Source organism: Homo sapiens, chromosome 21 (genome assembly GCF_000001405.40).
Source record: "Homo sapiens chromosome 21, GRCh38.p14 Primary Assembly".
NCBI lineage: Eukaryota > Metazoa > Chordata > Mammalia > Primates > Hominidae > Homo > Homo sapiens.
The window spans coordinates 44,241,870-44,267,408 of record NC_000021.9 but is presented as its reverse complement, the minus strand read 5'-3'; the positions used below and the strand labels follow the sequence as shown (position 1 = coordinate 44,267,408).

At 57.6% G+C, this 25,539-nt stretch overlaps 1 protein-coding gene and 1 long non-coding RNA gene across 3 annotated transcripts, besides 10 other annotated features; one reads left to right on the top strand and one right to left on the bottom strand.

The window, feature by feature from the left end:
- Positions 114-743: an enhancer, noted in NCBI's record as "H3K4me1 hESC enhancer chr21:45686549-45687178 (GRCh37/hg19 assembly coordinates)". NCBI's record gives its function as "activates a minimal SCP1, AML or CMV promoter by ChIP-STARR-seq in naive H9 embryonic stem cells {active_cell/tissue: H9 hESC(naive)}" and the evidence as "EXISTENCE:reporter gene assay evidence [ECO:0000049][PMID:30033119]".
- Positions 744-1,373: an enhancer, noted in NCBI's record as "H3K27ac-H3K4me1 hESC enhancer chr21:45685919-45686548 (GRCh37/hg19 assembly coordinates)". NCBI's record gives its function as "activates a minimal SCP1, AML or CMV promoter by ChIP-STARR-seq in naive H9 embryonic stem cells {active_cell/tissue: H9 hESC(naive)}" and the evidence as "EXISTENCE:reporter gene assay evidence [ECO:0000049][PMID:30033119]".
- Positions 5,238-5,797: an enhancer, noted in NCBI's record as "H3K27ac-H3K4me1 hESC enhancer chr21:45681495-45682054 (GRCh37/hg19 assembly coordinates)". NCBI's record gives its function as "activates a minimal SCP1, AML or CMV promoter by ChIP-STARR-seq in naive H9 embryonic stem cells {active_cell/tissue: H9 hESC(naive)}" and the evidence as "EXISTENCE:reporter gene assay evidence [ECO:0000049][PMID:30033119]".
- Positions 5,512-21,070, top strand: DNMT3L (DNA methyltransferase 3 like). 2 transcript variants are annotated; one of them, NM_175867.3, is made up of 12 exons: positions 5,512-5,669; positions 6,143-6,255; positions 6,570-6,614; positions 7,698-7,777; positions 7,860-7,972; positions 8,715-8,886; positions 11,255-11,342; positions 12,704-12,792; positions 15,711-15,786; positions 16,460-16,599; positions 18,298-18,383; positions 20,847-21,070. In NM_175867.3, exons 2-12 carry the CDS (start codon positions 6,150-6,152, stop codon positions 21,010-21,012), a joined length of 1,161 nt encoding a protein of 386 aa, NP_787063.1. In that variant the 5' UTR covers positions 5,512-5,669; positions 6,143-6,149; the 3' UTR covers positions 21,013-21,070. The 2 variants fall into 2 exon arrangements, with proteins under 2 accessions (NP_787063.1, NP_037501.2); NM_013369.4 differs by having other exon boundaries at positions 20,844-21,070.
- Positions 8,908-9,408: an enhancer, noted in NCBI's record as "H3K27ac hESC enhancer chr21:45677884-45678384 (GRCh37/hg19 assembly coordinates)". NCBI's record gives its function as "activates a minimal SCP1, AML or CMV promoter by ChIP-STARR-seq in primed H9 embryonic stem cells {active_cell/tissue: H9 hESC(primed)}" and the evidence as "EXISTENCE:reporter gene assay evidence [ECO:0000049][PMID:30033119]".
- Positions 10,303-11,291: an enhancer, noted in NCBI's record as "H3K4me1 hESC enhancer chr21:45676001-45676989 (GRCh37/hg19 assembly coordinates)". NCBI's record gives its function as "activates a minimal SCP1, AML or CMV promoter by ChIP-STARR-seq in naive H9 embryonic stem cells {active_cell/tissue: H9 hESC(naive)}" and the evidence as "EXISTENCE:reporter gene assay evidence [ECO:0000049][PMID:30033119]".
- On the bottom strand, positions 15,888-16,596 carry DNMT3L-AS1 (DNMT3L antisense RNA 1). Its single transcript, NR_135514.1, has 2 exons — positions 16,468-16,596; positions 15,888-16,282 (listed from the first exon to the last, which is right to left on the bottom strand). It is a non-coding gene; the product is annotated as a DNMT3L antisense RNA 1 (long non-coding RNA).
- Positions 16,487-17,001: an enhancer, noted in NCBI's record as "H3K4me1 hESC enhancer chr21:45670291-45670805 (GRCh37/hg19 assembly coordinates)". NCBI's record gives its function as "activates a minimal SCP1, AML or CMV promoter by ChIP-STARR-seq in naive H9 embryonic stem cells {active_cell/tissue: H9 hESC(naive)}" and the evidence as "EXISTENCE:reporter gene assay evidence [ECO:0000049][PMID:30033119]".
- Positions 17,002-17,518: an enhancer, noted in NCBI's record as "H3K4me1 hESC enhancer chr21:45669774-45670290 (GRCh37/hg19 assembly coordinates)". NCBI's record gives its function as "activates a minimal SCP1, AML or CMV promoter by ChIP-STARR-seq in primed H9 embryonic stem cells {active_cell/tissue: H9 hESC(primed)}" and the evidence as "EXISTENCE:reporter gene assay evidence [ECO:0000049][PMID:30033119]".
- Positions 17,519-18,034: an enhancer, noted in NCBI's record as "H3K4me1 hESC enhancer chr21:45669258-45669773 (GRCh37/hg19 assembly coordinates)". NCBI's record gives its function as "activates a minimal SCP1, AML or CMV promoter by ChIP-STARR-seq in primed H9 embryonic stem cells {active_cell/tissue: H9 hESC(primed)}" and the evidence as "EXISTENCE:reporter gene assay evidence [ECO:0000049][PMID:30033119]".
- Positions 18,934-19,875: an enhancer, noted in NCBI's record as "H3K4me1 hESC enhancer chr21:45667417-45668358 (GRCh37/hg19 assembly coordinates)". NCBI's record gives its function as "activates a minimal SCP1, AML or CMV promoter by ChIP-STARR-seq in primed H9 embryonic stem cells {active_cell/tissue: H9 hESC(primed)}" and the evidence as "EXISTENCE:reporter gene assay evidence [ECO:0000049][PMID:30033119]".
- Positions 24,168-24,706: an enhancer, noted in NCBI's record as "H3K27ac-H3K4me1 hESC enhancer chr21:45662586-45663124 (GRCh37/hg19 assembly coordinates)". NCBI's record gives its function as "activates a minimal SCP1, AML or CMV promoter by ChIP-STARR-seq in naive H9 embryonic stem cells {active_cell/tissue: H9 hESC(naive)}" and the evidence as "EXISTENCE:reporter gene assay evidence [ECO:0000049][PMID:30033119]".

Sequence of the window (25,539 nt, the reverse complement as noted above, 5' to 3'; positions counted from 1 at the left end):
GAGACAGTGTCTTCCGCACCATGGGCTGGAGGGCAGAGGGCACACGGTATGGGGTCCCCGGGGCTCCCCAGCCCCCAGCGGGCCATCGGCGCCAGTCCTCGCACTATCACGGGCTCCTGGAGAGAAGATGGTTTGCACGGTCTTCCCACTTCTGGAGTGCGATTTCCCACATGGGTGTTTTCTGAAAGTTTCCCGTGCCATTTATAAATGCACCATCAAGGGAAGGCTCTCTGCAGAAGCAGCTTTGGAAGAGATGGGGGCTTCCATTGATTAAGGGTGTCTGTCCTATGTGCTTCTCAGAAACTTCACGCAGGGATGTAAATCACAACCCTCCAAGCAGGTGAGGGGCAGACAGTGTGTCCCAAACAATCTGACTATGCACCCTGTTCCCAAGCACACTCATGACAGTGCCTTCTGGAGGGTGGGAGAAGCGGCAGCCCCTGCTGGGGTCCAGTGCATTGGCCATCAGGTCTGGGTGAGGCTTCAGTGACCACCCCCAGGCTCCTGGGGCTTCCACAGTGGAGGCTGCCATCCTGTCCTTTCTTCCTGACCCTCATGGCCCTGGCTGTATGTGGCCACCCCGGGTCCAGCTGGGCCCAGGCCAAGGCCAGGTTGAGTCACAGGGGCCTTTCCAGACCCCTAGGGTCAACAGCATCAGAAATCATCGTGTAGGCTGGGCTTAGTGGCTCACGCTTGTAATCCCAGCACTTTGGGAGGCCGAGGCGGGTGGATCACGAGGTCAGGAGATCGAGACCATACTGGCTAACACGGTGAAACCCCGTCTCTACTAAAAATACAAAAAAATTATCCAGGCGTGGTGGCGGGCGCCTGTAGTCCCAGCTACTTGGGAGAATGTCGTAAGCTTGCAGTGAGTGGAGATGCGCCACTGCACTCCAGCCTGGGTGATAGAGTGAGACTCCGTCTCAAAAAAAAAAAAAAGAGAAATCAATGTGTAGTGAGCTGTGGGTCACCCCATCAAGCCAGCACACGGGTGGCTTCCAGGCTGGAGAGGACATGGGAGCTCATGCAGAAGGAAGACTCCAGATGCATCCATGAGTGCCAGGAAGGGGCAGCCACACAGCGGGGACTGTGCTCCACCAGCCCCCGTAGCCCTGCTTGGGGAGCTTTAAGGCCCACCCTGCCACGTTTGCGTCCTTGGGGCTTTCTGGGGCATGGAGAGTGAGGCCAGAGGTCCCCCAGTGACCAGCACCTGTGGTCCGCATGCTGGTGGGTATATCACAGGGGCCGATGCCAGTGGTGGCCTCAGGGACTGAGCTCCCAGAGAGCTCCCCATGAGAGGCCAGCTTTTCTGGGGCCCATCTGTAGAGCACCGGGCCTCTCTCCTGCTGAGACCGCTCTGGTCTCTGCTGAGCAGCAGTGGGGTGCACGGGGACTGGGGGCTCTGATGGATGCGAGGGGCTTCCTGTCCTGTGGCCTACGCCAGGGCACCCGCCCTGGACAGAACCTTCCTTTACTGCAGGAGGTTCTGGGGTGTGAAGTTAGAAAACTGCCCTTCCGGAAGCCGGGCGCAGTGGCTCACACCTGTAATCCCAGCACCTTGGGAGGCCGAGGCAGGCGGGTTACCTGAGGTCAGGAGGTCGAGACCAGCCTGGCCAACAGGGTGAAACCCCGTCTCTACTAAAAATACAAAAAATGCTGGGTGTGGTGGCATGCACCTGTAATCCCAGATACTAGGGAGGCTGAGGCAAGAGAGTTGCTTGAACCCGGGAGGCGGAGGTTGCAGTGAGCTGAAATTGCTACTGTACTCCAGCCTGGGCCACAGAGCGAGACTCTATCTCCAAAAAAAAAAAAAAAAAGAAAAGAAAAGAAAAAAAGAAAAAAGAAAACTGCCCTTCCAGGATAACTTGAGGTCAGGAGTTCGAGACCAGACTGGCCAACATAGTGAACCCCGTCTCCACTAAAAATACAAAAATTAGCCAGGCAGCCGGGGCGAGGTGGCTCACACCTGTAATCCCAGCACTTTGAGAGGCTGAGGCGGGTGGATCATGAAGTCAGGAGTTTGAGACCAGCCTGGCCAACATGGTGAAATCTTGTCTCTACTAAAAATACAAAAATTAGCCATGCGTGGTAGTGCACGCCTGTAACCCCAGCTACTCGGGAGGCTGAGGCAGGAGACTCGCTTGAACCTGGGAGGCAGAGGTTGCAGTGAGCCGAGGTGGCAGCACTGCACTCCAGCCTGGGCAATAGAGCGAGACCCCCCTCCCCAAAAATTAGCCGGGCATGGTGGTGCGTGCCTATAATCACAGCTACTCAGGAGGGTGAGGTGGCAGTGAGCCGAGATCACGTCACTGCACTCCAGCCTGGCAACAGAGAGAGACTCTGTCTCAAAAAAAAAAAAAAAAGAAAAGAAAAATAGGCTGGGCGCAGTGGCTCACGCCTGTAATCCCAGCACTTTGGGAGGCTGAGGCGGGCAGATCACAAGGTCAGGAGATCGAGACCATACTGGCTAACGTGGTGAAACCCCATCTCTACTAAAAATACAAAAAATTAGCCTGGCAGCCCGGGCGCGGTGGCTCACGCCTGTAATTCCAGCACTTCGGGAGACCAAGGTGGGCAGATCACGAGATCAGGAGTTTGAGACCAGCCTGGCCAATATGGTGAAACCTTGTCTCTACTAAAAATACAAAAATTAGCCATGCGTGGTGGTGCACGCCTGTAACCCCAGATACTCAGGAAGCTGAGGATTCTCTTGAACCGGGGAGCTGGAGGTTGCAGTGAGCAGAGATGGCACCACTGCACTCCAGCCTGGGCAATAGAGGGAGACTCCTCAAAAAACAAAACAAAACAAAACAAAACAAAAGCCGAGTATGGTGGTGCATGCCTGTAATCACAGCTACTTGGGAGGCTGAGGTTGCGGTGATCCAAGATCACGTCATTGCACTCCAGCCTGGCAACAGAGCGAGACTCTGTCTCAAAAAAAAAAGAAAAAGAAAAAGAAAAACAGGCCGGGTGCGGTGGCTCACGCCTGTAATCCTAGCACTTTGGGAGGCCGAGGCGGGTGGATCATGAGGTCGGGAGATCGAGACCATCCTGGCTAACACGGTGAAACCCCATCTCTACTAAAAAAAAAAAATATATACAAAAAATTAGCCGGGCATGGTGGCGGGCGCCTGTAGTCCCAGCTACTCGGGAGACTGAGGCAGGAGAATGGCGTGAACCCGGAAGGCAGAGCTTGCGGTGAGCCGAGATGGCGCCACTGCACTCCAGCCTGTGCGACAGAGCGAGATTCCATCTCAAAAAAAAAAAAAAAAAGAAAAAGAAAAAAGAAAACTGCCCCTCCTTGGAGCCAAAACCAGCCCCCAGGAATTCTCCCCTTTCCACTTGTGCTGGTGGGAACAGCCCTGCAGGGCAGGGGAGGTTGGGTGTGGGGCTGGGGTCAGGGGACAGATGGGCCTGCTGCTCCCGCTGTCTCCTTCTAATCACTTTCAATCCCGTGAGCTCCTGAAAAACAAAGCTCTTTGGAATAAAAGGAGGAGAAAACAAGATCATTTTACTCAAACACAGGGAAGTGATCTCACTGTCATCCTCAGTATTCTCTCCCTTCACTTTTTTTCATTAAAAAAAGTAACTATGTTAGAACAGCTTTAAAGTTATACAAACCTTGAGGCGCTAGTCCAGAACTGCCGCAACCCCCACCCAGCCCTCAGGCCCCCATGGACACTGTGGTTACATGAACAAACCTGCAGACACACCAACTTAGAGCCAAGGAGCCACATTTTATTCAGATTTCCCACTCCCTACCGCCCCTCTCTGTCCCGGGATCCCATGTGACACTTCATTGTCGCAGTGCCTCAGGGTCCCCCCGCCCCCTGCCCCGCTGTTTTTCAGACTCTCCCGCTGGGCGGCCTGACTGCCCCAGTGAGGAGGGCTCAGGCACTGGGCCGCCTCTGCTCCGACCCAGTTCACTCCTGGAGAGGCTGGGCTGTGGGTGGGGGGAGAAAGCCCCGGTGCGGGGCACCCACCCAGGCGAATCCTCCCCGAGACGCTGGCCTGGGCCAGGGGCCAAGGGGTCATCAGGCTGCCCCTGTGTGGTCACCCCTCATGCAGTACTTGCAGAAGGAAGTCACCAGGCCCAGCCCACACTTCAGGGGGGTTACCTCCCGCAAGGGTCTTCTCCCACTTTCGACCAGCACAATTGTCCTGTGGCTCCAGCCCTGCCCGGCGGTCCTCCGCCCCCTGCTCTGAAGCCCCTAACCTCCCTCCAACAAAGTCCCCCTTCCCAACCCACCCCGCACCTCCCACACTGCCCCTCTGCCCACCCCACCTTCCTGCTCCCTTCCCTGCTTCCACGTTCCACCCCCACCCTGAACCTACCCCTCCCAGCTCCCCAACCCCCCACCTGCCCTGACATTCCCCACCCAACACCCCTTACCCCATCCTCCAGGGCCTTCCCTGTTTCCTTCTCTCCCCCACAGCTGCCCCCCAAACCTGGGGCTCCAGACTGAGCTCCCAAGCCCGGCTCCTGAACGCCCCTCCCTCTATCCCGCCAGAGGACCACCTCCCCTGAACACCCCCATCTCCTCCTCACCATCTACCCCCACCCCCACTCCCATCCCAACCGACCCTGAGATCCCTGAGGCCCATCCCCACCCCATTCTCACCCCTATCCTGCCCTAAAGGCCACCTCCCCTGAAACCCCCATCCTCGGCCTCACACCCCCATTCCTACTTTCACCCCGTCTCTACCCTTGCCCTGAGCCCCGACCCCCGCCACTGAGCCCTGCCCCGGAGTGCCCACCCTCACCCTATCATCACCCCCATCCCGCCAAAGGACCACCTCCCCTGAAGGCCCCCATCTCCAACTCAGCATCCACCCCCACCCCCACTCCCTAATCCCCCAACAGATCTCCCTAAGCCCCGCCCTCCACCCACCCACCCTGCCCTGAGGGCCACCTCCACTAATCCTCACCCATCTCCACCCAGGGGGCCAACTCCACCTAACCCCCCGCCCTGCCCTACCTCCACCCTCCACCCTCCACCCTCCACCCCTCCACCCCTCCACCCTCCACCCTCATCCCTTTCTTCACCCTTGCCCTGAAGCCCACCCCTATGACCTTCCTAAACCCCACCTCTGAGCGCCCTGCCCCTACCCCACAGCCACCCCTATCCCCCACCCCACCCCAAGGGCCCCCCTCTACTGAAACCCCCCTCATCTGCCCCATCCCCAGTCCTCCCATCTCCACCCCTCCCCTGAACCCCACTCCCCACTGAGGTCCCCAAACCCCACCCCTCACTCCACCCTGAGGGCCCCATCCTCTGAACCCCAATCCCCCAGCCCCACTGAGCTCTTAACCCTCCCCACCTGAGGGTTCCCTTTCCCTGCCCGTCCCCCAGCTTCCTAGCTCCCCACCCCAAGTGACCCCCCGCAGCTCCTCGCCCCTCCCACTGCAAACCGGCACTGAAGGGCTGCCCCGCCCCCGCCCCTCCCCGCCCCCGCGGGACACGCCCAGATTCTTTGCCCCCATAGCCTGGTGACCTCTGGCCACCCGCTGTCCCAGGTGGGCCTGGATCCTTCCAGCTCATTCTTTGCCTGCGCCGTCCCTCGTTCCATGGCCCAGTCCTCCCCGGGGACCCTGAGCCTGGAAGCCCCGGACCACTGGAACCTTGAACCCACCAGCTGGCTGTACCCGGAGCCGTGGCAGCAGCCCTGTGAGTCTCTTTCCTACTCCCTGACCATGCTGCCTTCAAGGGTGCGGCTGGCCAAGACCATCCCCAGGGGTCCCTGCTGGGCCTGAGGGACACTGTAGGAGGCTGGGGCATGGGAGTCCCTGAGGGGTCGAAGGCTGGGCCCAGAGGAAAGCAGGGGCTGCAGCGGCCATTGGCCCCAGGTCCTCATGAGGGCCCTGCCCTCCCCTTTTTGCCCCATCTTCCATGTTGTAACAGGGCCAGGCAGGTGGGGGGCACGCCTCAGGGGACCCTTGAGCCCCTCTCAGGGCTGGCACTGGCCTTGGCTGTCCTGCCCCTCATCCCTGGGTTGGGCAGGTGGGTGTCACCGCGGGGGTTCAGGTGGCCTGAACTAGTCAAGGTCTGCTCAGCAAGCTGCTTCCCGTGCTGGGGTGCATCAGGGATCTGAGCAGGGGCTGACGGCTTTCTCACATCTGTGTCCGTGTGTCCTGACACAGCATCCCCATGGCGGCCATCCCAGCCCTGGACCCAGAGGCCGAGCCCAGCATGGACGTGATTTTGGTGGGATCCAGTGAGCTCTCAAGCTCCGTTTCACCCGGGACAGGCAGAGGTGAGGGCTCATCTGCTTATTGGACCAGTCACTTAGGATGCTGATCCCAGGCCTGGATGAGGTCTGGAGTTCCAGGCTTCTGGAGTATTCATGCATTATTCAGGCACCCGGGCTGGGGCAGGAGGTTCCCCACCCACAGTCTTCCCCCAGGTATGGGCGTTTAACACACCAAGATAAGGTGTGAGGGCGGGATGGCAGGGGACCTCAGGCTCCTGTGACTTTGGAAAACGAATTGTGATGCTCACTTCCTGGCCGAATTTAAATTAAGAGATCAGAGGAAGAAGAAAGGGGCTACTTCTTATCTTCCTTTCCAGATCTTATTGCATATGAAGTCAAGGCTAACCAGCGAAATATAGAAGGTGAGTGTTTGCATACTGGCCCACACCAGACAAAAGAGACGGGGCACAGTGGCTCACACCTATAATCCCAGCACTTTGGGAGACCAATGTGGGAGGATCATTTGAGCCCAGGAGTTTGAGACCAGCCTAGGCAACATAGTGAGACTCTGTCTCTACAAAAAAATAAAAATAAAAATTAACCAGGCATGGTGGCATGCACCTGTAGTCCCAGCTACTCAGGAGGCTGAGTTGGGAGGATTGCTTGAGCTGGGGAGGTCGAGGCTGCAGTGAGCTATGATAACACCACTGCACTCCAGCCTGGGTGACGGTGAGATCCTGGAAGGAGGCAGTGGACACCACTGTGCCACGTGTATCCCTTCTCCCCCTCCCAAGGCCCCTGTAGCTTCATTTAAAGCATATAGTTTAATGTATTTTAGTTTATTTACAGAGTCAGCAACCATCATCACCATCTAATTTTAGAAGGTTTTCATCACCCTGAAAAGAAAACCCATGTCTAGTAACAGTCACTCCAAATTCCCCCTTCTTGCTTCCCTTCTTTTAACTCTAGGCAACCACTCCTCGACTTTCTCTCAACGTGGGTTTGCCTTTTCTGGATCCTTTGCATTTCCGTATGAATTTAGGATCAGCCTGTCAACTCCTGCCCAAAAGCCAGCTGGGATTTTGAGAGGGCTCTGCAGCTCCATTTGGGGACTCATGCTATTTTAACAATATTAAGTCTTCTTCTTTTTTTTTTTTTTTTTTTTTTTGAGACACACTCTCACTCTGTCCCCCAGGCTGGAGTGCAGAGGCATGATCTTGGCTCATAGCAACCTCTGTCTACCAGGTTCAAGTGATTCTCCTGCTCAGCCTCCTAAAGTGCTGGAATTACAGGCATGAGCCACCACACCCAGCCAATGTTAAATCTTCTGATCCATGAACATGGGATATCTTTCCATTTTGTTCCATCTTCCTTAACATCTTCCAACAATACTTTGCAGTTTTCAGTGTATAAGTCTCATATTTGTTTGGCTAAATTTATTCCTAATCGTCTGCTGTATTTGACAGCACTGGGAAAACACAGTGTGCTTTGAATGTTTCCTTTAGACATCTGCATCTGCTGCGGAAGTCTCCAGGTTCACACACAGCACCCTCTGTTTGAGGGAGGGATCTGCGCCCCATGTAAGGTAGGCAGGGAGGCTGGGGGTGACTCCCTCATGGCCTCAGAGCAGGGATGACACAAGCCAGCCTTGCTTTGCTCCTTCCAAGGACAAGTTCCTGGATGCCCTCTTCCTGTACGACGATGACGGGTACCAATCCTACTGCTCCATCTGCTGCTCCGGAGAGACGCTGCTCATCTGCGGAAACCCTGATTGCACCCGGTGAGGCGAGGGGCCTGCCCAGGGGGGTGAAGGGGCTGAGGACACACCCATCCTTTCAGCTACTCATTCTGGAGTGTGGGTGGATTTTCTTCCCAAATGGATGATTTCCCTGAGAGCTTCTGATTTCTGTCTCCAATGCGTCATTTGGCATAGAGCCCTGAGCTATGGGAGGCGGGTGTCTACGGTTGGCGATTGTGATTTTTCTTTTCGGTGTTGATATTGCCACATCGCTGTGCAGGGGAGCGATGGAAACCCCACACCCCAGGCTGCCAGTCATGACCGGGGTGACAAGGGGTATGCTCACCCCTCAGTCGTTACTCCCTCGCCTCGGCTCCCTCCGTGGGCTCCTCTCCTCGGTCCTTCTGGGCCATCCTCGTATTTACAGCTCCCCACTCCTCAAGTTCTCTCCCCCAGCTGCTGTTGCTACATTTGGTTTTGCTGGGAGTCCCTACGCTGTTTCTGCAGGCTCGAGTTTGGGGGCAGACAGGTGGCTTAGGGGGTTCCTTGGATCTGTCATTGCCTGTGAATCCACCTCCCTGTCTTCTGCACCTGGCTCGGCTCCTGTCACTCTGCGTCTCTAGGAAGGACCGTCTCCCTCTTCCCAGTCCACCACCTGGTCTTCCCAAAGGGAGCTCCAGCGTGACTTTTCCCTCCAAAACAAGGCTCAATCAGGCCCACCTCTGCCATCCTCAGGAGAGGTGGGCTGTCATGTCCGCTGCTGTGGTTTTCTGTCTGGCCTTAGATGCTACTGCTTCGAGTGTGTGGATAGCCTGGTCGGCCCCGGGACCTCGGGGAAGGTGCACGCCATGAGCAACTGGGTGTGCTACCTGTGCCTGCCGTCCTCCCGAAGCGGGCTGCTGCAGCGTCGGAGGAAGTGGCGCAGCCAGCTCAAGGCCTTCTACGACCGAGAGTCGGTAAGGAGCCCGTGGAGGGGCAGCACCCGGCAGCAGCAGGCCCTGACTTACGGCCTTCCCTCGGTTCCCGCTGCAGAATGCAGGCGCGCCGACGGGCACCACGGCTGCAGCCTCGGGAGCAAACACTCTTTCCTGGGTTCCTCTCCGATAGTGGCTTCCACTCGATGGTGGCTTTGGGTAAACTGCTTTGGCAGTTTTGTTGCTTCCAAGCCTAGGAACGAGGCCCTGGTAGCAGATGGGAGAGGGGCCGGGAGAGGGTGGCTGGCACGTCTCAAAGTCCAGTCCTCAGGAGCAAGTGCCTGGGCTTCTGCTGGCCAGGTGTGGGCCGTTTTGGGAGTCCAGCCGAGGAGCCAGGGGGGCCGGCAGGAACCTCAGACAAAGGCAGAGAAGGTGGAATTTTGTCCCTCTGAGAGGGACATCCAAGTCTCCATCCCTTACCTGTGAATGTGATCTTATTTGGAAACAGGGTTTTTGCAGATGTAATTTAGTTAAGGATCACGAGATGAGATCATTCCAGATTTAGGGTGGGCCCTCAATGCAGCGACTAGTGTCACTGTAAGAGATTTGGGAAATGGAGACGGAGAAGACAGTCACATGATGATGGAGGCAGAGACTGGAGTGAGGTGTCCACCAGCCATGGGTGCCAGCAGCCCCAGGAGCTGGGGGAGAGGCCTGGCACGTCCTTGCCTGGCGCCTTCTGAGGGAGGCACGCCTGCCGGCACACCTTCACTTCAAAACCTCTGGCCTCCTGAGCTGTGAAAGAATAATTTCTGCTGTGCCAAGTCCCCTGGTCTGTTTTTTATTTATTTATTTATTTATTTATTTATTTTTTTTTTTTTTTTGAGACGGAGTCTCGCTCTGTCGCCCAGGCTGGAGTGCAGTGGCGGGATCTCGGCTCACTGCAAGCTCCGCCTCCCAGGTTCACGCCATTCTCCTGCCTCAGCCTCCCAAGTAGCTGGGACTACAGGCGCCCGCCACTACGCCCGGCTAATTTTTTGTATTTTTAGTAGAGACGGGGTTTCACAGTTTTAGCCGGGATGGTCTCGATCTCCTGACCTCGTGATCCGCCCGCCTCGGCCTCCCAAAGTGCTGGGATTACAGGCGTGAGCCACCGCACCGGCCTTGTTTTTTATTTTTTTATTTTTGAGATGGAGTTTTGCTCTTGCTGCCCAGGCTGGAGTGCAATGGCACCCTCTTGGCTCACTGCAACCTCGGCCTCCCGGGTTCAAGCGATTCTCCTTCCTGCCTCCTGAGTACCTGGGATTACAGGCACCGACCGCCACACCCGGCTAATTCTGTACTTTTAGTAGAGACAGGGTTTCACCATGTTGGCCAGGCTGGTCTTGAACTCCTGACCTCAAGTGATCCACCTGCCTCAGCCTCCCAAAATGCTGGGATGACAGGCATGAGCCACCGGGCCCAGCCCCTCCAGTCTGTTTTAATTTGCAGGCCAGCCACGGGAAGCTCCTACAGAAGGGGTGTGGCCCCCGGTGAGGCAGCCAGCGGGGAGCAAGGGACCCCTGAGCTGACCATGAAACTGCACTGGCCTCCAGCTCACATTTGTTAAGGTTGAACGAAGTCATCTCTCCCTGCCTAGCAAGCTTCAGCCTGCTCCAATTCGAAGGAAAGGGTCAGATGGGAAGGTATTTTATAGGAACAGAGCCTAGCACTCTGAAAGCCGAGGCCCCCGAGTTTTGGGCCTTGGGGGTTGGCCCTTTAACAGGGAGCATGTGAGGCTGGAGCTGGCTGCCCGCCTAGCCCATCAGGTTGGCAGGGTCAGGGAAAACCACAGGCCTCACCTGCCCCGAGGCTCACCTCTCCCCGGCATCTCTGGCCTTGGGGCTCTCTTCTCCGAGGTTCTGGAAGCTGCCAGGATGAGCAAGACCAGCCTGGCCAATATGGTGAAACTGTCTCTACTAAAAATACAAAAATTAGCCGGGCGTGGTGGCGGGTGCCTGTGATCCCAGCTACTCGGGAGGGTGAAGCAGGAGAATCGCTTGAACCCGGGAGGCGGAAAGTTGCAGTGAGCCAAGATTGCACCATTGCACTCCAGCCTGGGTGACAGAGCAAGACTCCATCTCAAAAAAAAAAAAAAAAAAAAAATCAGCAAACCCCTCCACACCTACTGTCTCTCGGCTGGAGACAGGTCAGAGCGGGAGACTGAGGCTGGAGCAGGGGGTGGAGTTGGCCTTCCTGGGGGGGCAGTGCTGGTCAGGACAGGCCCAGTCAGCCTCAGCAGGTGTGTCTTATGTGTGTCTCCGGTGAGTCTCGAGTGAGTGTTCATCCAGGGAAGAATTTTCATTGTAACTCAAGGGCTCTGTAGCCAAGTAGCCGGCACAATGTCCTGTTTTGGTTTTTTAATAAATAGGAGAATCCCCTTGAGATGTTCGAAACCGTGCCTGTGTGGAGGAGACAGCCAGTCCGGGTGCTGTCCCTTTTTGAAGACATCAAGAAAGGTGAGTCAGTGATGTCCCAAAGACACACATGGAAAGATGCCTCTAAACACCTGACTGCCCCTCAGGCCACCCCCCGGGACTCCCCACCCCCTCCCCTAGACCGGCCAACTGCTGATGTCCTGTACCCTTCCCCACCCTGGGCCCATGCTAACCCTGCACTGGGGCCTTTGGAAATGGCACTTGTCTTCTGGGCCCCGCAGGCACAGCCAAATCCATGAAGACACTCCCTCTCCTCTGGCCGTTAGGGATGTGTCCCGCTGGGACACCCACTAAGGCCCACAAGTGTCTCAGAGCGGCCTCATGCGGGAGCACATATCTGCCCCATGCAGCCGATCAGGAGCCTGATCCCGCAGCGCCTGCACAGCCTGTCCAAGGTCTTGCTGCCCAGGAGGGGCTGAGAAAGCCAGGGCCTCCTCCAGGGCCGTTCCAGGGCTCTGCAGCTCACACCAGCTGCAGAGTGGAGTGGACTCCACTGCTCTGTGGATTTCCTAGCCAGAGGTGACATCGCATCCCAGAAATGCCTGGTGCTGTAATACAGTCCTTGACATCCTTTTTTTTTTTGAGGCGGAGTCTCGCTCTGTTGCCCAGGCTTGATCTCGGCTCGCTGCACCTCTGCCCCCCGGGTTCAACCAATTCTCCTGCCTCAGCCTCCCGAGCAGCTGGGATTACAGGTGCTCACCACCACGCCCAGCTAATTTTTGTGTTTTTAGTAGAGACAGGGTTTCACCATGTTGGCCAGGCTGGTCTTGAACTCCTGACCTCAGGTGATCCATCCGCCTTGGACTCCCAAAATGCTGGAATTACAGGCTTGAGCGTCTGTGCCCGGCCGTGCTTGACATTCTTAAATCAATACTTGGCAATGTTTGCTTGTTTAGCTTGTTGTGAGACAAAAACCTCCATCCTTAATCCTCCTGCCACGTCATTAAAAAGATAAAGTTGGGCGGGGTGCAGTGGCTCACACGTGTAATCCCAACAATTTGGGAGGCTGAAGTGGGCGGAACATTTGAGGTCAGGAGTTGGAGACCAGCCTGGCCAACATGGTGAAACCCTGTGTCTACTAAAAATACAAAAAAATTAGCCGGGCGTGGTGGCACATGCCTGTAGTCCCAGCTACTCGGGAGGTTGAGGCAGGGGAACCGCTTGAACCTGGGAGGCGGAGGTTGCAGTGAGCCAAGATCACGCCACTGCGCTCCAGCCTGGGCGACAGAGGGAGACTCCATCTCAAAACAACAACAACAAAAATATACAGTTGGCTCCTTAATGGTAGGAGGGTCCTCTGATCGTCCGTCAGCCTTTTCGAGTCCCTGTAGGGGCACAATCCACGCTCACCCTCTGGGCCCTTCTGGTCTCTCCCCATCCAGAGCTGACGAGTTTGGGCTTTTTGGAAAGTGGTTCTGACCCGGGACAACTGAAGCATGTGGTTGATGTCACAGACACAGTGAGGAAGGATGTGAGTACCGCCGTGAACTCTCAGACACTGTAGTGGGAGCGGGGGTGCGAGCTTCCTCAGAGGAAATGCCAAGGATGAGGCGGGCAAGGAGGCGGCAGCAGGGGCTGGGAGGAGTCCTGAACACACGGGGGCCTCTCGGCAGCCTGGTGGGGATCCTGGGTCTGACAGGAGTCAGCCCAACCCCGCCGGCCCAGCCACCACTGTGATGCCCCGCAGCGGAGGGCTGAGCAGCACGTTTTGGTGGTCCCAGCATTGCCCAGAGCCCAGAGCCCAGAGCTCAGAGCAGGGCAGTTGGGCAAACATCTTGTCCAACATCTTGAAATCTAAGTAGCCAAATTCCACTGCCTGTGATGGGGCGCTGTCCGGCAAGGAGGGGCTGAACCCCCACTCCACCCTCTAAAATGAGGAGGCCGAGCCTTGACCTGGACAACTGGTCACTGTTTGAAAGCATCCTCCCGCTGCTGGAAGGAGGTGACACAGCTCCAGTCGTGCGTTCCCCCTGTAGGCCAGATTCCCCGCTGCCTTGGTGCCTTCCCATGCCACTGTGAGAGAAGCATGAGCAGCCACCTGTGTACAGGTCTTTTGGGGGCTCCCGGCCTGGGACCAGCAGCCCCCCCTCACCTCCGCTGTCCCCACCCCACCATGCCTTTTCGGCACTCGGAGACCCTCAGGTTGCACCTGCCATCAACAGTTAGGTTTATCCACTTGCTACATCGTGGAAGGACACAAAATGATGCCCCGGAGGCATGAGGAGTTTGGGGCTAATGGGATTCGGGCTGTTATGTGATTTGAGGGGGTCCAGGGAAGTGGAGTCCATTGTTGACTGGTGCTATCAGGAGACGGGGTTCTGATACTTGACTATCTTAAGTTTTGGGGGGCTTTTTTGTTTTTTGTTTTTGAGATGGAGTCTCACTCTGTTGCCCAGGCTAGAGTGTAGTGGCACAATCTGGGCTCACTGCAACCTCCGCCTCCAGGGTTCAGGCGAGTCTCCTGCCTCAGCCTCCCAAGCAGCTGGTATTACAGGCACCCGCCACCATGCCCAGCTAATTTTTTGTATTTTTTAGTAGAGACGGGGTTTCACCATATTGGCCAGGCTGGTCTTGAACTCCTGATCTCAGGTGATCCACCCGCCTTGGCCTCCTAAAGTGCTGGGATTACAGGTGTTAGCCACCACGTCCAGCTGTTAATTTTTATTTAATAAGAATGACAGAGTGAGGGCCATCACTGTTAATGAAGCCAGTGTTGCTCACAGCCTCCCCTTGGTCACTTTTTGTGACTGAAGGGCATGTGTTCAGGCAAGATTGTTGGGTGGCTGTGTTTTGTCTTCTTCCAGCTCGGCCATGGAATAGCCTGTGGGGACCTACTCTGTGGTCCCCAGGGAGCTACTCTGTGGGGGCTGTTTCTGTTCAGCAGGGAAGGCTCTGCCCTTGCTGTTAGCTCCTGGAGGGCTGCGGACGGCACCTGCTGTGTTCACAGATGACAGTTACTTCCCTAGGTAGTCTGCATGTTGGGCCTCCCAGGACTGGTTCTCTAAGGGCAATGTGAGGACAGACAGAAAAACCAAATTCTGCCAAAGTTTTTAAATAGGTTTATTCTGAGCCAATAAGAGTGACCATGGCCTGGGAAATACAGTCTTAAGAGATCCCGAGGAAGTGCACCTGAGGCGGTCAGTTACAATTTGGTTTTATGTATTTATTTATTTTTATTTTATTTATTTATTTATTTGTTTTTGAGACGGAGGCTTGCTCTGTCGCCCAGGCTGGAGTGCAGTGGCGTGATCTCGGCTCACCGCAAGCTCCGCCTCCCGCGTTCCTGCCATTCTCCTGCCTCAGCCTCCCGAGTAGCTGGGACTACAGGCGCCCGCCACCATGCCTGGCTAATTTTTTTATATTTTTAGTAGAGACGGGGTTTCACCGTGTTAGCCAGGATGGTCTCAATCTCCTGACCTCGTGATCCGCCCGCCTCTGCCTCCCAAAGTGCTGGGATTACAGGCGTGAGCCACCACTCCCAGCACAATTGGTTTTGTACATTTCAGGGAGATGCGAACTGCAGGTGGAATCAGAAAACAGTACACGGGCCGGGCGCGGTGGCTCACGCCTGTAATCCCAGCACTTTGAGCTGAGGAGTTCAAGACCAGTTTGAGCAACTTGGTGAAACCCCATCTCTACCAAAAATACAAAAAAGTTGGCTAGTCATGGTGATGTGCACCTGGGGTTGCTCAGGGGGCTGAGGCAGGAGGATTGCTTGAGCCCAGGAGGTAGAGGTTGCAGTGAGCCGAGATCTCGCCATTGCACTACAGCCTGGGTGACAGAGTGAGACCCCATCTCAAAAAATCAATCAATCAATAAATCAATACATAGAAGATGTGCATTGGATCAGCCCCAAAAGGCGAGATATCTTGAAGCTTACAGGTTATAGGTGGGTTTAGGGATTCTTTAGTTGGCAGTTGGTTGAAAGAGTTGAGCTTTGCCTAAAAACTGGGAGTCAGTAGAAAGGAATGCTTGAGTTAAAATAAGGAGGTCTGCTGTCTGTCATGTGGTGCCATGGCAGAGTCACAATATACCAGGTCAAAAACACCCATTCCACAAGCTTTTGTGGTTTGTAAGGCGTGATTCCCCTACGCTCCTTAGAAAGGAATTTGAGCAAGAAAAAATAAAGGCAGAATTCAGTCCCCAAATGCATGGCACAGAGTCTTCACCTCAGACCCGGAGCTTTCTCCTCTGGGCTCCAGGCAGGCAGCCCCTGAGGCTGGTGGTGGCTGTGGATGGCTCTGCCCTAGTGGGCTCCACTCCTCAGCTTGCCCTGGCCTGTGGGCCCTGCGAGCTGAGCAGGGTCTGCCCTGGGGTCATCTCGTGCTGCCGCACGCGACCTTGCCCACTGCTGCTGCCTCTCAGTGCCCACTCCCCTCTGTCCTGCAGGTGGAGGAGTGGGGACCCTTCGATCTTGTGTACGGCGCCACACCTCCCCTGGGCCACACCTGTGACCGTCCTCCCAGTGAGTGATGCTTCAGTTCTGGCAGCCTGTCCCCACCACCCCTGTCTCCTCTCCTCTCTCCTCACACCTCCATGCCAGGGCAGAAACTGCAAATTGTCAGCATTTTTCAAAAACAGCTTTATCGAGGCACCACTGACATACAGTAAGTTGCACGCATTCAGTGTGTCCGACTGGATGAGTTCTGAGCTAGCTCCACACCCATGCACCCCTCATCAGAGTAAGAGAGCAACAGAGTAAGAGTCCCCATCACTGCAGGCTTCCCTGTGCCCCCAAGCCTCCCGCTGACCCCATGCAGCCCCCAGCGTGCCCACATCACTGCAGCTCACGTGTCCTCTGGAGCTTCCTCTAAAAGGCGGTATTTGTGCCGCGGCACGCGCTCTGCGTCAGCTCCTCCCTCGGGGTTGCCTGTCTGTCTCTTCCCCACTCTAGGCCTGCCTGGGGGAGGAGGGGTCCATGCACCTCTGTGGCCCCAGCACTGGGCAGGGCTTCATTGCTGCTGGAGGGACAGGGGCAGGGGGATCCCTCAGACCCAGGCCGGTGCGTCCCCTCGACCCCCTCAGCCCTTCTCTCAAGCCCCAGTTTCCTTAGGCCCCTGCCCAGATGCACCTGAACAGCGTCCCCATGACCAGCCCCCCCGGCCCCCCCTCAGCCCTGCCCCCTCACCCCACTCCAGGCTGGTACCTGTTCCAGTTCCACCGGCTCCTGCAGTACGCACGGCCCAAGCCAGGCAGCCCCAGGCCCTTCTTCTGGATGTTCGTGGACAATCTGGTGCTGAACAAGGAAGACCTGGACGTCGCATCTCGCTTCCTGGAGGTGCGTGCAGGGCTGCGTGGGCCGCCCTCTGACCCCTGCCCACGTGAGGGAGGGGCTTTTCTGGTGGAGCTCAGTCTACACCCCAGGCTCCGGGCCTGGCTCCTTGCGGCCCCTGGTTTCCAGGTGTGTACAGGGCCCAGGAGAGCTGCTGTGCAGTCCGGGCAGGGACTGCGGCCTGGGACACAAAGCCCCTTCAAGGACAGCATGGGAGGGCAGTCCCACCTCGCACCACTCCTGTGCTCACAGAACACGGCCTCGGGGGCTCACCTCCTGCCCCTGCCCCCTCAGTCTCCACCCACACACACGCACATCACACCACACACACAGGTGCACACACACTGCAGTGCACAGTCACTGTACACATGCACCACACACAGGGACACACTTGCCACACACACACAGGCACACTACGTGCACACATACTCACACCACACACATACAGCCTTTTCTTCACACGTCTGAATCCTGATTGTCAGAGCAGCCACTTTTGGACTCAGCGGATGGGTCCCCTCTGGGGCTGATGGGCCGGGTGTTCCAGACACTTCCAGGGTTGGGGAGGGACGGCCACACCTCAGCCACAGGAGACAGGCGTGAGGCTCAGGAGGGGGAATTTCCTCATGCTCTCAGGTTCCATGGAGGGGCCACAGCCAGCGGGGGCCCGACCCACCGAGTGGGCAGCACCTGTGGGCCAGAGCCTTTGCTGGGGGTCCAGGTGGCGTTGAGGTTCCTTTGGTGCTGGAATCTCGTGGAGTGGCTGGAATGCAAATCCAGCTATTCAGAAGGGGAGCAAACGCCATGAGCTGAAAATCACAAAGTCTGTGCTTTTAGAACAGGAGACTTTGTTTCTGTAAAGGGGCACAGCCTGCAAGGTCCCGTCCCCCAGGCTGGGAAGCACGGGGCCTCCACCAAGACCAGAGGAGCCAGGAGGAGGCACTTCGAAGGGGAGGGGTGGCTGGGGCAGGAGCTCCGTGCTGACCGGGTTGGCTAAACCTGTGCGGCAGGTTATGGAGGAGCGGTGAATATTCATGAAGGGGGTCCTGCTGCGTGCGTACTGAACAAAATCCGTGGAACTTACGACCTCTGTTCACTCCGGGGTGGAGTCTTATCATGTCAGTGTGTCGCAATGAGGCCCTAAACCTCAGAGGTCTTCTCAGGACACAGGCCCTCAAGCGCACAACCTCTGTAAACCGGCCGGAGCCAGTCTGTGGTCGGGGTCCCTTATCAGGAGGAGGTTCCTGAAGTCAGTCTCCTGCCCAGTCAGAGCTGTGGTCATGGCTGTGGAACGTGGTCAGTTGGCATCTGCAGGTGGATGAGCTGCAGTCATTTGAACCTTGCTCATCCTCATCGCGGGGCCAGTGCGTGTTTAGCCGCTGCAGAAAAAGCAGCAGCTGTGGCGTGAGGGCAGAGTCCGTCCTCTCAGTGTAGGGCACGCGGCTCGGCTCGACCCTTGCCTGGCGCGGCCTGAGGTCCTGTTTGTAATTTGATATCTTATTGCCACAGAGTCTGTTCTGTCAGTTTAAAATAATTCATCAGCATTTTTCTCCAAAGGTGATTCATAAGAAAAAAGGACGTAGGGAACACAGTCGGGCTAGAAAGTCCATTGACCACTCAGGGCCATTGGCGGCTGAGGCCAGTGGGCCTGTGGGGGGCGCTTACCGTCCAGGTCCCCTGACCCACGGCCGACCCTCCCGCCCCCAGATGGAGCCAGTCACCATCCCAGATGTCCACGGCGGATCCTTGCAGAATGCTGTCCGCGTGTGGAGCAACATCCCAGCCATAAGGAGGTATTTCCTGGGCAGCTGAAAGCGTTCAGGGTCAAGGGGAACATGGACCCAGAAGCGGGGTTCACTGAGGAAATGGGGTCTGTCTAGCAGAGCCAAGCCCAGAGCAGCCTCTGCGCCCCAGTGGGACTGCGGTCGGCCTTCGGGGCCACCCTGAGACCCTGAAGACACCGAAGCCTGAGGATGCCCCTTTCCCCTTGGGGAGCTTCTCCAGCACTGGCTCTCAGCTTCTCGGGGTCCAGCCCCTGGACACCCATATGCGCCATGGCGGCCTGGCCCTGAATCGGCTGCAGCCCCCAGGCTTTCATTCCGTGTGGCCTCCCCACCTCCCTTGCACACCCACAAGCTCATGCGTGCTCACACTCAGCCACACTCACATGACTCACTTGCACGCTCATCCATACGCCTGTGTGCTCATGTATGCACACACACACAGTCATTCCCACGGTCACGCTCATCCACACACCTGTGTGCTCATGCATGCACACACAGTCATCCCCACAGTCACGCTCATCCACACACCCACATGCTCCCTCAGTCACATGCTCACACAAGCACACTCACGACTACCACCTGCATCCACACGTTCACATGTGCTCACAATCACACAGGCACACACGCATCAGTCTCACCCACCCACACGCTTGCACCCCCTGCGGTGCACTCCTGGGCTGCCCTCCCCACCTTTTGGGGCCTTGAACACATGGCCTTTCCCCACGTGCCCTCTCTGCGGCTAAGCACCCCCTTCTGCTGCCCCCACAGCCTCTCCCAGCTGCCCCCGCCCCTCAACAGCCTTTCCAGGCGGCCCAGACCTCACGACCTCCAGCCAACCGCCCATCCATCCCCTCACTCCCACACTCGCCTGGCGTGCCTCGCTCATACGTGCATTCGTGTGGAACGAGCGCTTTCTGGCTCAGCTGAGTCATGATCTCCTCCTGCCTGAGAGTGAGTTCTGGAAACTTACTCCCTCTCACCTCCCCGGTTCCAGCATCTCCCACGTCACCACCGAGGCACGATCCTGTTGCCTGGCACCTGCCAAGGCATGGCACCTGCAGGTCTTGCTGGCCTGGCTTCCCCTGGATTTGAGTTTGGGTGGGGCTGAGCCGAAGCACTTTTCCAGCATGCTTTCTCTTCAGAAGCCCTCTCACCTGCATGCCAGCCTTCGCACAGCCTCCCCCTAACCCTAAGCCTGTTCCCCGCCATGTCACTTCCTGGGAGGCCATGCCAGGCTCTGTGGGGCTGGGTGAGCGGGGGTGAAGGTGGGGGCAGACCCAGCAACACCTGTGTGCATTACAGGCCATGCCTCACCTGCTGCCTGGCCCCAGAGGCTCCTTGGCCCCCGGAGGCTCTATGCGTCCACACAGCAGTGAGAACAGCGCCCCATCAGGGTTCTTAAGTGGCAGGTGCAGCCAGACCCAGGGTTGCTGCTCCACAAAAGGCACCTCCCTCTGCTCCAGTGGCCACACTTGTGGCCCCTGCAGGCTTGGGCTGTGGGCTGGCAGCTGCTTCTTCCCAGCCCCCCTTTCTGAGCGAGGCTCCACAGAGCTCCTCACAGGGTTTCGAGGGCTGGATCCACCTGAGCCGTGATCCTGGGGTCACCTGGTTCCCAGAAGGAGGCTGGCAGTTCCTTCCCACAGGTTTCCCTCCCAGGCTCCTGGGTGTCTCAACAGTGACATGAGAGACACCCACTCACTGAAAGGAGAAATCCTTTTGCAGAGGTAGCCACCATCACCCCCAGGATGGTTAAGGACAGTCCCCACTGCCCTAGGGAGGGTGCCTGAGGAGGAGGAGGAGGAGGGGGACACTGTATCTGGCACTTCACTCGCAGTCTTCACCCCAAAATAAACTGAGAAATGTTCCTGGCCTCCAGTGGGGTGGCTGGGAGCAGGAGAGGGGGTGTTGGTGCCAAGTCTGCAAAGCCCGTCTTCCTCAAGGGCTCCTCACAGCAGGCTGGCAGGGGACCTTTCCTCTCACCACCTGCCCTCCTGCACCCAGGGCTGGGGCTCCCGGCACAGGCAGCCCCAGGAACCCAGGGGACGGCCTTTGTGATAGAATTCCCTGGGAATGCTCGCTGACTCTGCGAGGGTTTGGCCAACTTTTGCCCAGAGTCCTGTCCTTTCCTCTGCGGGGGTGCTGCCCAGGGATGGTGACATCCTCTAGCGATGGCCCTGGAGCTCGCTGTTCACACGGAGTGACCCCCAGCCTGCTTCCCAGGGGACCAGCCCCCGGCCGGGGGAGGCGGGAGGCAAGGGAGTCATCTGGTCCCCTGTTGCTCACTCCACCTCCATGAGAAAAACTCCCAGAATCAGGCGGGGGTTCCGGGGGGGGGGTCTTAGGCACCTGGGACAACTGAGAGGCAGGCTGTTCCCCTCGCCCCCTCGCAGCGATTCCTTCCCAGCCCCATCTCCGGGGCCACCCAGTGGGCGCTGCGCTTGCTCACAACCTTCCCTCCCCTCCTCTCAGCAGCAGGCACTGGGCTCTGGTTTCGGAAGAAGAATTGTCCCTGCTGGCCCAGAACAAGCAGAGCTCGAAGCTCGCGGCCAAGTGGCCCACCAAGCTGGTGAAGAACTGCTTTCTCCCCCTAAGAGAATATTTCAAGTATTTTTCAACAGAACTCACTTCCTCTTTATAAATGAGTCACTATACTGTGAAGAAAAAGACTTTTCCTAGAACAAAGGCAACTTTCCTCACGTTGTCTCTTTCCTCTTCGGATTCTTGTTTTTTTGCGTCTCCGTCGTCACTGCAGACCCACGTTCCGTTGGGTTCTGGAGACTCAGGGTCTCTCCCCCATCACGCTGGCTCATGGGACGGGGCGAGGCCCACGCCGCTGCACACAGGACCACACGTGGTGGTGCGCGATGTACTTCCTGAAAGCATTTCTGTGTTCTAGTTGAGAAGTTCGAGTATATTTATTATAAGATAGTTATTGGTCACGTCTGGTGTTTTATGTGTAGGCACAGCCATCTGTCACCCTGCAGGGCAGGGGGTGGAGGCCAGAAGTGAGCAGGAGGCGTCTTCGGAGCGCCTGCACCGTGTCCCGCATGATGCACTTTCTGCCGGGGCCTTCCCCTTGAGACCGCTGTTTGCGTTCATAGAGAAACCACGCACCCTGATTGTAGCTGCACCAAACAGCCTGGACCTTTGCAAAAGTACAGGACCTCAGCCTTGGCAGACAAAGGAGGGACCTGCTGAACAGACGGTGCGGAGGCCAAGGCCAGATCCACACACAAAAGTACAGGACCTCAGCCTTGGCAGGCAAAGGAGGGACTTGCTGAACAGACGGTGCGGAGGCCAAGGCCAGATCCACGCACAAAGGATGTCACTTGTGGGTCCTACCCCAGGTGGTATTGCTTGCAAAAAGCAGGGCTCCTCCTGGCCCTCTGCAGTCTGAGTCTCAGTGAGGATAAACCCAGCAGAAAGCTCTGCCTCAGGCTGTGCTCGAATCACAGGAAATGAATCTTACAGGGGAACTTTGGGGTCTGCACTGGGACTATTAGTGGTACGTAAAATGCTTTGTGGAAGAAAGGTTAAAATTGGACCCTTTGAAGGTTAAAAAGGTGTATCTGGAAGTAGAATAGAAGCCTTCACTTGAGTGAACATGACTGAACGCCTCTCCCATCTTGGGACAGTCCTGGATGCTTACGACACACATCTCACGTCCAGGGATGAATTTAGCAAGCTCTGTAATGACCCCGGGGTTCCTGAAGCCACAGAGGGAGCACAGGTGAGGGCATCCAAGTGCAAATGAGCCCTCTGGGGAGGCCTGCTTGAGCTGACACATAAATGGGGTTGAAGCCATTGTGAGCCCATGGGCACGGGCCAGGCAGGGTGGTGAGAGCTCCAGACAGGGCGGGCTGGGCTCAGGCTGTGTCCACCCAGGGAACCAGTGTCATGGGCCCAACATAACTCGTGGTCAGTTTCTGTGAGGGCTGCTTCAAAGCAGGGGCCCAAGGCTCTGTTAGGGGCTTTCTGCCACCCAAAATGCACTTTCCTTCTTTTGTTCTCTCCCCAACACTCAGAACTGTCCACACCACCTTGAGATTCTCTATGTATTTTATTTTAAATTTTTATTTTTTGAGACAGGGTCTAGCTAGTCCCCCAGGCTGGAGTGCAGTGGCACAACCATAGCTCACTGCAGCCTCCGTCTCCTGGGCTCAAGAGATCCTCCAGCCTCAGCCTCTGGAGTAGCTGGGACTACAGGTGCATGCTACCATGCGCTGCTAATTTTTAAAAATTATTTGTAGAGATGGGGTCTTGCTCTGTTGCCCAGGCTGGTCTCAAACTCCTGGGCTCAAGTGATCCTCCCACCTTGGCCTCCCTAAGTGTTGGAATTACAGGTGTGAGCCACTGTGCCCGACCTGCCAAGTATTTGAATTTTATACACAGGACCTGTATCATGATCCCATGCTCAGCTGAACCACCCTCCAAAGGATGCCCATGTCCCCATTCCCGGATCCTGTGAATGTTACCTCATGTGGCAAAGGAAGGACTTTGCTGACGGGATTAAATTGAGGTGGAAGGCCTCCCTGGATCATCCAGGTGGGTTCTACGTGTCATCCCAAAGGTCCTCATAAGAGAGGGGCAAAGTGAGGCTTGACCACACAGAGAAGCCACATGGCCACTGAGGCGGCTGCTGGAGCTAAGCACAGGGATGCCTGGGCCACCCAGAGCTGGGAGAGGCAGGTAGGATACTCCCCTAGCGCCTCCACCAGGCAGGCTTCCGCTCTCCAGGGCTGAGAGAGAATAGACTGCTGTTGTTTTGAGCCAGCAAGCGTGAGGTCGTTAGTTCCAGCGCCCACAGGAAACGAACATACAGTCATGCACCACATAACCTTCGGTCAACAAGCAATGCCACAGTGCTCCCATATCACAGCGCGGTATTTTTACTGCACCTGTTCTATGTTTAGATGGCTTTAGATACACAAATACCAGTGAGTCACAGCTGCCTACGCTATTCAGCACAGTCACCTGCCGCGTAGGCTCGTGGCCCTGGAGCAGCAGGCTGTGACACACAGCCTCGGCGTGTAGCAGGCTGTGCCACCAGGGCCAGTGTGTGCACTCTGTGTTCACACAAGGACAAAATCACCTAAGGACGCATTTCTCAGAAGGAATGTATCCTTTTCGTTAAACAATGTATGACTGTTCCCCGAAGAGAAAAGATCTTCCTTGGACCAGAAGTTGAGCTCTCAGCATCAGCGGACGCCCATGCTGTCAAACGCAGGTTGCTGTGCCAGACCCCAAAAGGACCCGGGCCTGGAGGTGCATCAAGGTGGAGATCAGAAGACCCCCACGCCCTCGAAACGGCAGAGCAGGGCGGCCTGGGGCTAGGGGCATCAGGCAGCTGCTTCCTGCTTAAGCACTACGACTCGCACCCAGAGCCTCGAACTCCAGGCTGCACAAATACGATTCCTGCTTGGTTCCCAGTTGGCCCTGGACGCTGCCAAGGGGCCCTCTCTCCACACCCCTAGAACAAAAGCCTATCCTGCCGGCCCAAGAAACAGTCACGGTTGAGGGGGAAAACGAAAACCTTCCTTTGACTACAGGAAACTTCCCAAAGGTTTCCCTGTTTCTTCATCTAAACCCATCTAAGTGTTGTGACACATGTGCCGGTGTGCTGTGTGCGTTCACTTACAACAGCCCCATTCATGTATATGTCACACGTCAGGGGATGCAGGCACCAAGGGGCTAAGGAACTTTCTGGGGTCACACAGCTCCGGAGTTGGGATCTGAACCAGCCACCGCTTACCGTGGTCTCCGAGGTTCCTGGGCTGGTCCTGGCACCCTCCCCCGCGGCCGCCTCGGCCTGCCTCAGTGTCCCCTTCTGGCCCAGCTGCCTTCCTGCCCCTGCCTGGCTGTGGCCTCCACGCGGCGTCCCCTCTCTCGGGGGGGCGGGGGGGGGGCTGCCCGCAGCACTTGGCTTGCTGGGGTCTCCGGCGTCTGCCCGGGAAGCAGAGCCTGGACCTGCCCCCTCGGCCACAGCACGGCGGGCCCTGCGGTGTCGGCCCCTCTCCCACCGCCCCCGGGCGGCACTGGGGGGCTGCGGGGTCCGGACGCACCGACAGGGCACCTTCCCTTCGCCGCCGCGGATGACCGGCCGCGCTCTTGGGAGGCCTTAATTTGGGAGGCTCTGCTCCCCCAGGACCCATTCCCCATCCTCCCAAAGCCCCCACGCGGTATCCGGGGGCCGTCCCCCTCTCCGCAGTCCCGCGGGTGGAGGGGATTCAGGTGCGCCCGGCCCTGGGGGTGGAGCGCTCGGCCCGGCGTCAGCTCATCGGCGCGGCGCAGCCCCGGACCTCAGCCGCAGGCCCAGAGGCGCGCGGTTCCCGGCCGGTCAATCAGGGAGGGCCTCCGGGAGGAGGTGGCGCTGCCCGCAGCCCGCCCGGCTCACCTGCGCCCTCCTCACCTGCGCCCTCCTCACCTGCGGGGCCATGCGGTCCCTTACCAGCAGCCGCCCGCCCCGGGGCGAGGAACCTCAGCCCCCAACATCGCCACCCCTCCAGCCTCGCCGGTCCTAGCCGGCGTCCCTGGGCGTGTCCCGGGAAGCGCACGTCCACGCTGGCGCTGGACCGGGTTTTCTGACTCCAGGGACGGGACTCGTCCTAAAGAGTCCGGCTCAGATGCGGTTACGCGCCTCACCTCACCCGGGTGCGGACCGCCAGTGCCTCCGCCCTGCACTCCGCGGGCCCTGCCCAGCTCTTCCCGCCGGAGGGCAGGTGGCCCCCGCCCCGCCCCTGCCAGGCGCGCGATTTTAAATCCCCCCAACCCCCGTCTCTCAGCGTGGCCTGGGAGGGGGAAGCCGCCCGGCTTCAGGGCTTCCTGCGCCTTCGCCGCCGCCCTCCCTGCCCTTCCCCGCCGCCGTCCCCCCTATCCCCCCAGCCCGTCTCTTCCGCCTTCTTATTTTGTGCCTGGGCTCTCTGCTCCGCAAAAATGTTGACTTCCCACGGGCAGAGGTTTCAGAATTTTTTTAAAGCTTTTGTCCACGGCGTTCTCTACATCTTGGTTGAAGGAATGGCAGCCTGCGGGGTGCCGTCTGGGGCCCCCGTCTCCCTGCGCTTCTCGCCTCCTCCATGCGCAGGAGGCGGTGGGGATCCGAGCCTCAGCCCAGAGGCGGGGGCTCCGGGAGGAGGGTGCCCCGCTGCCCTGTCTAGCAGCCTCACCC

Bases quoted from the DNA above. Each gene is read 5' to 3' on its own strand.
- DNMT3L (NM_013369.4), top strand. From the start codon at position 6,150: ATGGCGGCCATCCCAGCCCTGGACCCAGAGGCCGAGCCCAGCATGGAC. The intron at 6,615-7,697 runs GTGAGTGTTTGC...TGTTTCCTTTAG, and splicing joins TAACCAGCGAAATATAGAAG to ACATCTGCATCTGCTGCGGA. The intron at 7,778-7,859 runs GTAGGCAGGGAG...GCTCCTTCCAAG, and splicing joins GGATCTGCGCCCCATGTAAG to GACAAGTTCCTGGATGCCCT.